The 15,023-nt window shown below is 41.7% G+C and overlaps 1 protein-coding gene, 1 long non-coding RNA gene and 1 other non-coding gene across 9 annotated transcripts in view; 2 read left to right on the top strand and 1 right to left on the bottom strand.

Annotated features, from left to right (window-relative positions):
* Window positions 1-15,023, top strand: part of MYRIP (myosin VIIA and Rab interacting protein) — a 451,408-nt gene that overhangs the window by 423,627 nt on the left and 12,758 nt on the right. For 5 of the 7 annotated variants that reach the window (NM_001284423.2, NM_015460.4, NM_001284425.2 and 2 more), the window contains 2 exons: window positions 1,319-1,513; window positions 11,906-12,067. In NM_001284423.2, coding sequence (NP_001271352.1) covers window positions 1,319-1,513; window positions 11,906-12,067 — 357 coding nt within the window. The remainder of the gene's footprint in view (window positions 1-1,318; window positions 1,514-11,905; window positions 12,068-15,023) is intronic. The other 2 variants (NR_104316.2, NM_001284424.2) reach the window with 2 other exon arrangements.
* The window catches only part of EIF1B-AS1 (EIF1B antisense RNA 1), a 136,554-nt gene that overhangs the window by 59,396 nt on the left and 62,135 nt on the right, over window positions 1-15,023 (bottom strand). The gene's annotated exons all lie outside the window — the stretch shown is intronic.
* LOC124900557 (small nucleolar RNA SNORA64/SNORA10 family) lies at window positions 6,068-6,201 on the top strand. The gene has a single exon (XR_007096304.1). It is a non-coding gene; the product is annotated as a small nucleolar RNA SNORA64/SNORA10 family (small nucleolar RNA).

The raw sequence follows: 15,023 nt of genomic DNA on the forward strand, positions 1-15,023 counted from the left end.
ATATCTTACCAAACATTTTACTGGTCACACGAAATATGCCTGTGAGCAGTATTCAACTTCTAATTTACAAATGATGTGATGAGATAAACAAAATTGTTTGCAGATGGAAACCATGACTGCCAAGCAACAGTGATCTCCAGCTTATTGCATGATGCTATATGTTCAGATGAACTCAAAAATGCAGATAATTCTTTGGGGTTGTTGTGCCTCTGCTTCATTAATGACATTGGCCCAAATCCGGGTTGATTGTAATTTTGAGCCATGAACATAAAAGCTGGAAGTGACCTGTGTCAGTCAGGAACACGTTCAGCCACAGATAACAGAAAACCTGGCCAACAGTGGCTTCAACAGATAGGGGATCTTTTTTTCACATAACATGATATTCAGAGGCAGGTGATGACTCCCAGTGGTTCACCCAATCCAGTACTCTCTGAGTCCAAGCTCCTTCAGTCTTTCTGCCCCATCTCACTTGGAGGTTTGGCATTCATCTTCAATTCTGTTGGCTCATAAGCTGCAAGTCTATGTTTAAGGCAGAAACAAGCGGGGGTGGAAGAAAGGGGCATTAGATGCACCAGTTCCCCTGATTAGGAAAACAAAAGCTTATCTAGAAACTCCTCAGGCTTTCCCTGTGGACTCACTAGTCAAGATTGTGTCATATGACTACACCTAGCTGCAAGGGAAGTGGGAAAATTTATTATTTTCCTGTTCACCCCCATGGTAGAAGCAAGCAAGAGAGAATGGGCTTGCAAATAGGTGTGTGAGTTAATACACTGTCTATCAAGAAACCACAGAGAAATTCTTTCTAGTACTCTCATTGTACAGATGACAAAAATGAGTTCCAGAAATGAGAAATAACTTGACCAAGGTCCCATAACTGGGTGAATTTAGAGCCTGAACTGGAGCCCAGGTCTCTTAAATGCCAGTCCAGAAAGCTACCCACTGGACCACACTTCAGTCTGAGACTGAAGTTTTGCTGATGAAGTAGAATATTATTCAGCAAATAAGGTCAGAGATATTAAACTACCAGCAGTGAGCAGAGGACATACAGTTTCCACTCTAGCACTCCTTCCTCCTTCCCTCACCAAGAATCTGAAATAATTACAAGTCACGGAAACTAGGCAAAGTCAAATCAGGCCTCCCCTCAGTTCTCTTCTGCTGTGTCTAGTTTAATTTTCTCATTCTTCAGCACATTGGTGTTTGTGTGTGGAATTACAGAATCAACCTCATGATGATGAGTGTCATGATAACATAGAATTTCTGTGTCATTGTTAATGTGCTGTTCTTGTCTTCTGTCCCCTTCTGTTATCGGACCAAACAGAAGTTTTCTGCTGTTTCTCTCTGCAACATCTCCACAGAAGTCCTGAAAGTCATCAATGCCACAGAGGAGTTGATAGCAGGATCTACAGGGCCCTGGGAGTCCCCACAAGTCCCTCCTGACAGACAGAAGGGGATGTTTCCTCGTGGGACAGACCAAGTGAGACTGGATGAGCAGCTGACTTCCCTGGAAGAAAATGTAAGAGGGTATGGAGGTGCCCTGTCTAGGGTGAATGTATGTGAAGAAGAAGCTGATGAAATTGTAGCTTATCGTGAAGAGTGCAAGGACACACACATACACACACACACCACTACCACTATAGCAAATACATTCTCAGGAAGGACCTTAGGTTGGATTCCCCAGAAGCAGACCCTAGATGAGGATTTGTGTGCATGTGACTTATTAGGGAATGCTCCCAAGGGAGGCTGGTAAGGGAATGGGGAAAGTAAGGGAAAGGGAAGAATCCAAGCAAGGACATGATCTTACACAAAGAGGAGCTTCAGCCTGATCCTGCAGGGAGCTCTGGAGTAGAAGTTGCATCTCAGAGTTGTCCTGACCTAAGGCAAAAGAACTGGCCCGTCCTACAACCAGCAGGCACTTCAGTCTCTTTGCACACAGGCAGTGTCTCCAGCAGCCCAAAGGCAGTCCCCTGTGTAGATATGGGCTGCTGGGAATAGAAGCACACTGAGGCTTAGTGGGCAGGGAGAGGAGTATAGAGAAACTATAAAGGAGATCCAAGGGGATCCAGGTGGGAGTATTGCCAGTGCCACTACAGGGAATGAAGTGGTTGCCAGAAGAACTGAAGTTACTACAACTGGTCTTCTCTGCTTCTCTAATTTAAGATACCAACAAAATCTGGCCAGGCACTGTGGCTCACATCTATAATCCCAGCACTTTGGGAGGCTGAGGCAGGCAGATCACTTGAGGTCGGGAGTTTGAGACCAGCCTGGCCAACATGGTGAAACCCTATCTCTACAAAAATACAAAAATTAGCTGGGTGTCATGGCAGGCGCCTGTAATCCCAGCTACTTGGGAGGCTGACCCAGGAAATCGCTTGAACACAGGAGGCGAAGGCTGTAGTGAGCCAAGGTGGTGCCATTGCACTCCAGCCTGGGCAACAGAGCAAGACCCTGTCTCAAAAAAAAAAAAAAAAAAAGATACCAACACAATCATATTTAATTTATGTTTTTGATGAATCACCCAAGCCTCCTTGTGCCATTAGCAACAAGAAGCCCACTATCTGTCTTCTGAGCCTATCACACGCCACTCCAAAATTGTCCAAGCACTCTGGGAACTGAGTAAGACTCTACTGCATTACCTTATGACCACATTTAGACCTCAGACTGCCATGGTTCCCGCTCCCCAATTCCTATGCTCCCCAATAAGGATGCTAACCAGCCATTGCTAGTGGATCTGCCAATCAAGAGGAAAATGCCTAACATCAACTACATTTAAAATTACATTTCTTCTTTGGAAATAAAACATTTAGCATAATGCTTGAAAAAAAGTACACAATAAATGTTGGCTGTTCTTATTAGTATTTGAAAGGCATGTCATCAGCTAACTCCTAAAATGATCCCATTAAAATTCACTAAAGAATGGGTTGTTAAAAGTGGTTCCAACTTTAAAAACACTCTTAGCTCTTTCTCTCATCCTGGAACAAGTATGCATTTGCTGCTTTCAAGAGAAAGACACTTGAGAAAGAAAGGAAATAAAACAAGTCCTATTGGTGATTTTGCTTTACTGAAAAATCATCCATTTTTACTGAACTGTAAGCAGAGTGGCCCAGAAGACTCATCTGCCTCATTTCATCCCGTTTTTACTTGCTGCTTTTTCTGAGGACCCTGACTTAGGTAGCTGGGCTTTCCCAGGTGCCAGGTCCTTTTCTGCCTGAAGGAAGCCATGCCTCAGAGTCAGGGTCACAGGGAAAGGAGGTGAGATCTACCAGATGTCTGGAAAGGAGGAAGGGGATGAATGGGGAAGGTACTCACAATCCATTTCAACATTTAGAAGGGTTAAACACTATCAGCCAAGTCAGCTGTTTCCCTGTGGAAACCTGTACATCTCTGAAGGCAAAATCAATGTACTGGAGGGAGGAGAAGACAGTGCTTACATTTACCTTTCTCCAGATTCAATACCATTTAGTTTGTACTCCTAAAAGCTATTCGCAAATATAAATATAGTCATGTGCTACATAATAAGGTTTTGGTCAATGGCGAATCACATATACAACAGTGGTGGTCTCATAAGATTATAATGCTGTATTTTTACTGTACCGTTTCTATGTTTAGATACACAAATAATTACCATGGTGTTACAATTGCCTACAGTATTCAGTACAGTAACATGCTGTAGCCTAGGAGCAATAGGCTAGGTGTGTAGTAGGTTATACCATCTAGGTTTGCATAAGTACACTCTATGATGTTCACACAATTTTGCATTTCTAATAATACATCCTCATTATTTAGCAAAGCATGACTATGTTTAGGTTAAAGGACTTTGTAATTTCCCCCTTCCATTCAAAGAGAAGAAAAAATTCTTGGCTGTCAAGTAAGAGGCACCTGGCCTGGAGGAGGGGTGGGTGTTGACTGATGACTTTGGAGTTCAGGAAAGCTCTTACTGTCCCTTGAGGAGTTGTGTGTTTGGTTTGGCCTAACAGGTATATTTGCTAGTAATGGATTTTTCAGTCCTCCTGATTTGTGATGAAAAAAACAGTGTAATAAATTCTTACAGGTAAATATTCATGATCACTGAGTATTTCAGGAAATAGCTGATGATAAGAATTTCCCAATACTCCAGACCAAGGGTGACACTGAGAAATTTGGACATTAACACTCAAGCTGTAGTCACCATCATCAGTTGGCATGGCCCTAGCCATGAAGTTGATATCAAATCAAGTTAGGTGATGCCAGCTCCTGCAGAGTCAACTGTGCTTTTGAGGTGCTCTAATGAATGCTGTTCCCAGAAATCAGGAATTGTTATTGGAGAGTGTTTTTTTTTTTAAGTAGAAATGGGGTCTTGCTATGTTGCCCAGACTGGTATCAAACTCCTGGCCTCAAGGGTTCTTCCTGCCTTGGCCTCCCACAGGGCTGGGATTACAGACATGAGCCATTATGCCCAGCCTGAAGTATTTTTTGATAAAAGTTAAAACAACAAGAAATAAAAATTTTTTGAATGCAGGCTGGGTGTGGTGGCTCACACCTGTAATCCCAGCACTTTGGGAGGCCAAGATGGGAGGATTGCTTGAGGCCAGGAGTTTGAGGTCAGCCTGGTCAATATGGTGAGATCCCATCTCTATGAATAAAATTATATATATATGCATGCTTGTTTCACTTTAAAAGTTGAAGACTCTCTTCCTTTGGGCTCCCATAAAACCTATGCATGTATCTGTCTGTTCACTTTTCACACTTTCCATCTTTTCTGTTCACTCATCCATCTCCCATTAGGCTGGCACTATTGACATTTGGATTAGGTAATTCTTTGTGTGGGGGCTGTCCTGTGCACAGGATACTTGGCAGCACCCCTGGTCTCTACCCACTAGCTGCCAGCAGCAGCACCCTCCCAGTGTGACAGTCAAAAATGTCTCTAGACATTGTCAAATATTAGGCGTTTGGGGCAGGGCAAAATCACCCCCAGACTGGGAATGAGATATATAAATTCCTGTAGAACAGGGTTTACCACCTTTTATTTCTGTAGCCTAGCCCCAGTCCACCACCCAGAGCCTGACACAGAGGAAGCACTTAGTGAATGTTCAGCTGATGTGTGACTACACCAGAGGAATGAAGCCCCTTTTAAAAAGAACTGCTTGACTTCTCATGCACAGGGTCTCTGTTCTTTAAATGTGTCTCTAACACAGCTGAGTCCTGAGATGGCCCTGATCCTGGGCACACACAATTGAAAGGGTTAAAGACATGGTTCACTAGCAAACAAATGTATTTTTTACAAGTATGGTACCAAAAAACAGTGTGTGAAATATCTGGTTTAAATGACAATGGTCAGTTCTCATAGCACACTTAAAACAAAGATATCCTGCCCTTTTATCTTTACCTCCAAGGAGCATGTTGAAAAGAATGCAATGGCCTTATTGGAGTTTTCATCTTGTAAGATCCTTTAATTGTATGTTTTTTTTCCTTTGGGTTCATTAACAGTTTCTATTTAAAATACATCCACTTACAGACTGAAGATGTCAGAAGCCCCAGCAGGGACCATGGCTGGAAGGCCCAGTCTGTAGATGACTGCTCCCCTCTTCTGCACCCCTCATGCCTCTCCTGTTCCCAAACAGTTAACTGCCTTCTTCCTTCTCCTTCCCTTCCCCCATCCTTCAGCTTTTTAAATTTCACCTCAGAAGAAACCCCATCTATATTCTTTTGAACTCATGTGCTTTTGAGTCAGGGAAGGGATGACTTTTCTTCGTCTCTTTAATTCAACAGATCACAGAGCCATGGGCGCGTTGCCTTGCTCTGCTGCTCCCGGATGGAATTCAGCTGAGCAGTGGGAGAAGCCAGGGCAGTTCTTAAACTGTCCTCTGGGTGCAGCTGATCTCATTAAATCATGGCTTTTGTTGGTCTGCAGAATAAAGAACAGTCCTGCACTCCTCCGCTGTTCTCCATTGTGCTGGGGAACCTAGGGACTGTCAGAAATAGAAACGGTGACACTATTCTCGCCTTCTGAACATTGGTTACCACAGGGCAGGACTCGGGGGGAGAAAAAGAACATTTGGCTGAGAATGTTCACCTTTAAAAATACTTCTGAAGACTCCCAGCTCTGCCCAGTTACACTAGGCTTCGCCTGTGTGGCTTCTGTAATGGGGAGGGAGAGAAAGGATCTCCCCAGGACCTCAGATTGGCTTTACTGTGGCATCTCTTTCCTTGAGGGACACAATAGGTCCTGAGCAAAATGGGAAAAAAAGGAAAAAAAAATAAAAATACTTCTGAAGGTTTCAGAGCTACATAAGATAAAGAAACATCAGCATTTACATATCCAATCTCCTGTTTTCACAAACTGCCTTAACCCCCTTAATTAGCAGATGGCATGGGTATTTTTTTATTTTTATTTTTATTTATTATTATACTTTAAGTTTTAGGGTACATGTGCACAATGTGCAGGTTAGTTACATATGTATACATGTGCCATGCTGGTGCGCTGCACCCACTAACTCGTCATCTAGCATTAGGTATATCTCCCAATGCTATCCCTCCCCCCTCCCCCCACCCCACAACAGTCCTCAGAGTGTGACATTCCCCTTCCTGTGTCCATGTGTTCTCATTGTTCAATTCCCATCTATGAGTGAGAATATGCAGTGTTTGGTTTTTTGTTCTTGCCATAGTTTACTGAGAATGATGATTTCCAATTTCATCCATGTCCCTACAAAGGACATGAACTCATCATTTTTTATGGCTGCATAGTATTCCATGGTATATATGTGCCACATTTTCTTAATCCAGTCTATCATTGTTGGACATTTGGGTTGGTTCCAAGTCCTTGCTATTGTGAATAGTGCCACAACAAACATACGTGTGCATGTGTCTTTATAGCAGCATGATTCATAATCCTTTGGGTATATACCCAGTAATGGGATGGCTGGGTCAAATGGTATTTCTAGTTCTAGATCCTTGAGGAATCGCCACACTGACTTCCACAATGGTTGAACTAGTTTACAGTCCCACCAACAGTGTAAAAGTGTTCCTATTTCTCCACATCCTCTCCAGCACCTGTTGTTTCCTGACTTTTTAATGATTGCCATTCTAACTGGTGTGAGATGGTATCTCATTGTGGTTTTGATTTGCATTTCTCTGATGGCCAGTGATGATGAGCATTTTTTCATGTGTTTTTGGCTGCATAAATGTCTTCTTTTGAGAAGTGTCTGTTCATGTCCTTTGCCCACTTTTTGATGGGGTTGTTTGTTTTTTTCTTGTAAATTTGTTTGAGTTCATTGTAGATTCTGGATATTAGCCCTTTGTCAGATGAGTAGGTTGCGAAAATTTTCTCCCATTTTGTAGGTTGCCTGTTCACTCTGATGGTAGTTTCTTTTGCTGTGCAGAAGCTCTTTAGTTTAATTAGATCCCATTTGTCAATTTTGGCTTTTGTTGCCATTGCTTTTGGTGTTTTAGACATGAAGTCCTTGCCCATGCCTATGTCCTGAATGGTAATGCCTAGGTTTTCTTCTAGGGTTTTTATGGTTTTAGGTCTAACGTTTAAGTCTTTAATCCATCTTGAATTGATTTTTGTATAAGGTGTAAGGAAGGGATCCAGTTTCAGCTTTCTACATATGGCTAGCCAGTTTTCCCAGCACCATTTATTAAATAAGGAATCCTTTCCCCATTGCTTGTTTTTCTCAGGTTTGTCAAAGATCAGATAGTTGTAGATATGCGGCATTATTTCTGAGGGCTCTGTTGTGTTCCATTGATCTATATCTCTGTTTTGGTACCAGTACCATGCTGTTTTGGTTACTGTAGCCTTGGGTCTACAGCTCCCAGCGTGAGCGATGCAGAAGACGGGTGATTTCTGCATTTCCGTCTGAGGTACCGGGTTCATCTCACTAGGGAGTGCCAGACAGTGGGCGCAGGTCAGTGGGTGCGCACACTGTGCACGAGCTGAAGCAGGGCGAGGCATTGCCTCACTCGGGAAGCGCAAGGGGTCAGGGAGTTCCCTTTCCTAGTCAAAGAAAGTGGTGACAGACGGCACCTGGAAAATCGGGTCACTCCCACCCGAATACTGCGCTTTTCCGATGGGCTTAAAAAAGAGGGCATGGGTATTTGAGAATTATCTTGTCTCTCAGCTTTGACACTCCTCACCTGCTATCTGGCATTAGTGCTGTGAAATCAGCTCTTGTCTCCCCTAAAGGCAGAAACAACCTAGGACTAATCCCACCCTCCACAGCAGCACGCAATGGGGGCTCAGTTCCTTGGGCTGAATGCCTTGGTCTGTAGGTATTTTAAATTCTTGCTGTGAAGAGCTCCACTGTACCTATTGGGGTCTGGCTGGAAGAGGAGAGTTTCATGAAAGGGGCTGTTAACTCAGGTGTGGGCAAGGTTAAGGGATGCTGAGGGTGGAACAGTAGCAATAAAAGGAAGCTGTTACCAGCCCTAGACAGTGGTATCTCCACTGGTCAAACCCATCCCAGACAGCCAGGAAGCCCTGGTGATGAAGTCCAAATTGGTCGGCCTCCCAGGGAACAGGGCAGGACAAAGAAGGATAGAAAATGGCCCTAGAAGGTCAACAGAGAAGGACTAGCATAGCATTCTCAGACCTGTGGTGTGAATAGTAGGACTGCCACCTTGAGGATGTATGCAGGGTTGTAAGTAACCCATAATCCCCAGCCTCAGAGGGAATGGAGAGCAAACCCAACTTCCCTTTTAGCTCCACCCCACATTGCCCATGGAGTATACAACCAGTGGCAGCAGACACAGTAGACCTGCACTACAGGGAGCCCAGCTCTGCCACTGAATCCAGATCCATGCAGAGGATGTTGGTCCTCTTTCTTAAAGTTCTCCTACAACCCTTACAGCACTAAAGAGGATGTAGCACTAGAACTTGTGGAGACAACCATGGTTACTCAGGTGGTTCTGTGCCCTCAGAGAGCAAGGAAAGAAATACATTAGTCCCCTAAAGTATAATTCATGGAAGCCACATCCAACAAGATGCTCTAAGGTCAAATAAGTCTGGGAAGCTTGCACACTCTTTCTAGGAAAATTGAGATACATATTAGTACATTAAAGCCTCTGTGAAGACCTGCAGTAAAGAAATCTGTTTAACACTCTTTATTCTAGAGAATTTAATCACAAATAGGTGTTTCATTAAGGAAACACCTATTCTTATGCCTTGAACCACTCTGAGAAAGCCTTGTTGAACCAAGAGCCAGTGAATGCAATCACAGGCATCAATGACTAGAGTTTGAAGGGGTCATAGATTACTCAGACATGGTAACCACAGTTCTCACCAAAAGTGGACCTTAACTTGCCAAGCAAGTCCAAGTGAATATTTTTCAAATGGGTTATGTTTTATAAAGCTAGAATAACATTTTCATCATATAGCATGTTACCTTTTGTTATTTCAAGCCAGCCACAGAGCCAATATCATATCCATCTATAACCATAGTAACTCTAGTACCTTTATGTTAAAATCTGAAATGCAAAATGTTATAACATTCCAACTGAGATTATCACAGCATCATAGGGCAAGGAGGATAAAGGCAAGGGAACTAGCTTCAGCCCTCCTGAGATCACTTCTAGGCTCCACCAGTCCCCAGCTGTGAGACCTCAGAAAGTCACTAAACCTTCCTAGAGCAAAAAAATTCTCATCTTGAACACAGTGATTATAATAGTCTCTACCTCAAGGGTTGCTATGAGCATATATAAGTCACATAAAACCCTTGGCTTAGCCACTGGCTCAATAAATTAATGCTGTCATCATCATCATCATCATCATCCCCACCATCATCATCATTATCCTCCTCCAGTCCTTTAGGCACCATCACTTTGGCTGTAAATTCCTGTTCAGCTGGTATCAGTGCTAAACCACTAAATCTCTTCTGCCTCCTGGTGCCAGGAAAGTAGGCTTTTAGTGAACACAGAGTAAAACATGAACATTCTGGCCTTGCTGAGGGCTTGGAGCTTTTTCATCTTGCTTTGTCTTGGCAGGAAAAAAAAAAAAAAAAAGGAAGATTAGTGAATGAACATGTTGAAGATGTAAATAGCAATCAGGTTGATGCACATCCCAGGGTGTGATGACATTGAGTTTTGCGTGTTTCTGCTAAAATCAAGGTTCCAAGACCTTAGTTATGTCAAGTTATGTTTAACCACTGCCATGCTTAAATTATTTCGTTTCACTTAAATAACTCCAAATGTTGTCTCATTGTGTAAAACTGTAGATTTATATTTTAAATTATCTTATTAAAATAAATTTACTTTTTTGGTGTAGATAGGGAAAAGTATTAAAAAAGTATGATAAACTTCAAACCTCTCTCTCTGTTTCTCCCCCTTTTCCCCACCCCCAATTATTTTTTTACCCTCTAAAGGGAAGTTTTTCAACTTGAGAAATTTTGTGATACATTATTTGAATAATTTCTTCACTCAAATACCTTTGAAATACTTATCATTTCTTTCATTTGACAATAATCATTTCTTGCTTTAAAAACAAAAATAAATGGCTAAGATTAAATTGTGAAGATCTCTTAGAAACAGAATTTCTCTGTATGAAACAGAATTACATATTCAGCATATAATAAAGAAATATAAAACAAAAGATAAACTGAAGTGTGGCAATTCCCATCAGACATTTGATTCATGGCCCCTGTATGACTGGTGAATCATTTGATGTGACATCTTCTGTACCAGTCACTGCTGAAAGCTCCCACAGCCCAGGTAATTATGCCTGATGATGATGCGCAAATTTGCTTTCATCAAACCTGTACCTGCCTTTGCTCCACCTTGAAATGTTTTGTAAAATTGCCAGTTTTAAAACAGATGAGTGAATCATGCCAAGGAATTGACAGAGTGGGAACATCTCAGGCTTCTTTCCCTCACCAACACAGCATCACTAAGTGTAAAAAAAAAAAAAAAAAAGTGCATGACTAGTGTACCTGAGCTCTTGACTCATCTTCAACTCTGCTATATTTTTAACTCAAATTAAGGAAACTGTTAAAGTCTTGGCCATATGTTTCATTCAAATCAACTCTAAATTGCTGTGATTACAGGTTTAGGATTTTATATATGTTGATTAAACCTCAAGAACCTCTCTTTAAGTAATTACTTTCTTTAGATACATCTCATTTCTTATGTTGTTGGTTGCTTCATCACAGTATTGATTAGGATGGGGGGGTATTTGTTTCATTCACCCTGGCCCACATCCCTTAGTCTGAATTATTTCAAGGATTTCACCTTGCTCACTTTTATGGGAATAACCTTATAAACCTGTAAGTAAAAAATGTTTCTTTTTCTTAAATTTCTTTATCAGACTTGCTCTCTTATTTTTAACAGCTCTCAACAATTGTCCTAATTGACAGATAAATAGATACATGCTTCTCTTAACATCACACTATTTTCTAAGAAATATTTTTCTATTACAAACTTCAGGTTTATTTTAATTCCCTTAACCTCGTTGAAGCATGCAGAAGCTAATTAATCAGAGAGAATTCACTCAAAATTTGTAATTATTTTAAATTATTTCCCCTCTTTCTTGTTTTCTGATTTTTTTCTCAATTACTAAATGCCAACCAAAAATTGTATTGGCAAAACTCCATCATGAGTCTCTTTGTTTCTTCTTTATAGTCATTTTTATAGTCACTGGACCAATACACAATTCGCATAGCTGATGTCATGTATTTTGTACTATTTGAACAAAAGCAACTTTGAAATGCTTTTTCTTACAGGAAAGTTTGTGGGAGAGGGAAGGTGTGGTTGACAGTGAGGGGTGTCAAGACCTCACACATTTAAGTGTGAAGAACGTTTATAAATGTTATAAAAATAACATCCCCCCTGCAATGTGAAGTCCAGTTATCTCACTCCCCTGAATTGCTGGGGTCCCCTCAAGGGACCCCCAACCAGTCCCAAGTCTGCAGACATGAACTCAAATGTAGCACTGTCTCTACAGGTATACCTGGCAGCAGGCACTGTGTATGGACTGGAGACCCAGCTGACTGAGCTAGAAGATGCCGCCCGCTGCATCCACAGTGGCACTGATGAGACCCATCTGGCGGATCTGGAGGACCAGGTGGCCACGGCTGCAGCCCAAGTCCACCATGCTGAACTCCAGGTGAGAACTCTCCTCTCTGCCCACATGGGTCCTGCAGGGTGAAACAGGGAGCCCCATGTTCTACAAGAATCACTTTAAAGCCATTGTATCTATCAGCTCCCATCATCTCCAGCATGTTTGCGTGGATACAGTCCTTCCAGATGGATTCCACCAAATTCTCCCTTTAAAAGTGTAGTCCTCTTCTCTGCCAAATTAAAGTCTCGATAATATATTGGATGCCCTTTAAACCTTATACCAGTTTCCTCTTTGAGAAGTTTCCTGACCCATACATAGGTCTCTCTACTATACAGGTTTCCATTCCACTCCAAGACCATCCTTTTCTGACCCTTGTCACACTGTTGATTACTTATTAAGTAATATTATTAAGTAATATTCCCCATTATAGACTGAAAGCTCCATGAGAATAGAACTATAGCTGTGTGGCTTAACATGTAACTCCAGTGCCTAGCACAATACCTGGCACAGATTTAGCACACAATAAAAATGGGGTGAACAAATGAAGGAAATTGGAAGCATAGATTTCTCAGGACAATATTTTTCATGAGGAACAGGGAGGATTTAGATACGGCTATTTCAGAACTGATTGACATAGTCTCTATAACTTTGTGACTATGGCTGTTTGAAGTTTTCACAGATATTCCCGTAGCCTTTGACTCTGTAAAAAATTGACCATGGATTAAGCCACTGATTTTCAAACTAGGGTCTACAGATATATTCTTGGGACCCATGACAATTTTTTTCTTTAAAAGGGCTCCATGTAGGCCAGGCATAGTGGCTCACGCCTGTAATCCCAGCACTTTGGGAGGCCGAGGCGGGTGGATCACAGGTCAGGAGATCGAGACCATCCTGGCTAACACAGTGAAACCCCATCTCTACTAAAAATACAAAAAAATTAGCCGGGAGTGGTGGCGGGCGCCTGTAGTCCCAGCTACTTGGGAGACTGAGGCAGGAGAATGGCATGAACCCGGGAGGCAGAGCTTGCAGTGAGCCAAGATTGCACCACTGCACTCCAGCCTGGGGCAACAGAGTGAGACTCCATCTCCAAAAAAAAAAAAAAAAAAAAGGGCTCCATGTGTTACTCAAGTTTGAGAGACACTCGTCTCTGCAGCTTGAGTTCAGTATAGACCCCTGGTTTGCTGATTTTTTTTTTTTTTTTTTGAGACAGAGTCTTACTCTGTCACCCAGGCTGGAGTACAGTGGCATGATCTTGGCTCACTGCAACATTCACCTCCCTGGTTCAAGCAATTCCCCGCCTCAGCCTCCTGAGTAGCTGGGATTACAAGTGCACGCCACCACACCCAGCTAATTTTTTTTTTTTTTTTTTTGTATTTTTAGTAGAGACGGGGGTTTCACCATGTTGGCCAGACTGGTCTCGAACTCCTGACCTCAGGCGATCCACCCGCCTTGGCCTCCCAAACTGCTGGGATTACAGGTGTGAGCCACTGCAATAGATCCTGCATCTTAAAACTGAATCATTGGGAGAACTGTGGTCGTCAATAAAACCATATCTAGATAGAGACATAAATCAAAGAAAATGACTGAAGTGAGTCTCAATCATTTTAGAGGGTTTTTTTTTCGGCCAAGATTTAGGATGCACCCAGAAAAAAAGAGACAGAAACCACAGTAGGATCTGTGGCTCACACTTTTTCCAAACAGGATTTTGAGGGTTTCAATATTTAAAGGGGAAAAGTGGGCAGGAGCGGAAATAGATGGAGGGAAAGAGGAAGGGTTTGGTGACATTCTTGTGAATCTGCCCATTGCACATGAAAAGGAGGGGTAAAGGGAATGGTCAACTATGTATTCATCTTGCACTCAGTAAATCTGTGCTTTACATAAGATAAAGTAAAAGTAAACAGAAGAGAGGAAGCAGTCAAATATGCATTTATTTTCAGGTGGGTGAGGGGACAATTTCTAGTCTCCTCTTGTCCTGTAACCCATGAAGATAAGCTATTAATTTACATTGTGAGGGTGACGGAAGCTGTGAAGACATGTGGCCTTCTATCTGTAGCTATCAGTTTAGGAACAAAAGAAGGAAAGGCAGTTTTGGGGGACAGGGAGGAGGGGGTTGTGACTCAGCTTCCAAACTTCTCCCTTTTGGCATAGTGAATTGGGGGTCCCGAGATTTTATTTTCATTTCACAGAGACAATGACACTCTCAGGTGGTAATTATTTTAAAAGTAAATATTTTCACTTTATTGAGTCAAAAATACAACTCCTGACATCATTAACCACTCTAGAGAATGAAAGGGCACAATTCTCCACTCTGTGGATGGGTCAATGCTGTGAACTAGAAATGAGCTTATCAGATAGATGGCCCTGTTGACTATTATCAGTAAGAATGGCTGAACAGCAATTCTCCTAAAAAAAAATTATTTTCCATAAATTTCACCCAAGACTTAATCAATTTATTGTCAAAGATATATTAAGTAGAATCAAATCACTTGTTTTCTGTTACATTGTGTAGCAAATACTTCTTGAATGATTTTGCAGGAAGTAATATTTATGGGTGTTTGGGAGGATTTTATTGGATAATTATTCCCCCTTTATTGGATAGTTATTCCCCCTTCCACATTTTTCTAGACTTAAATTATTGTAGCCATGTTTTATGGCAGAAAACTCTAGAGTTCCAAATGTCCATTTTCCATGTGTTTAAATGTGTGCCTATTAATTTTTCATTTATTTTTAAATATTACAATAATGTTATCAATAATTCCCAATGTTCTGTGAGCGTTATTTTGTACTAGGTATTTGTCCTTAATGGTTTACCACATTATTGTATTTATTTTTTTCAGCAACCCCATAAGTGAGCTACTGCTACTATCCTCCTTTTATATCTGAGGAAACTTACCCAAGGTCAAATACCTAGAAAGTGATAAAACCGGGATTTTAATCCAAATTTCGTGACCTCATAGCCCACACTCTTTTTCTTCTTTTGAGATAGAGTCTCACTCTGTCG

The sequence above is a fragment of the Homo sapiens genome, chromosome 3 (assembly GCF_000001405.40).
Source record: "Homo sapiens chromosome 3, GRCh38.p14 Primary Assembly".
NCBI lineage: Eukaryota > Metazoa > Chordata > Mammalia > Primates > Hominidae > Homo > Homo sapiens.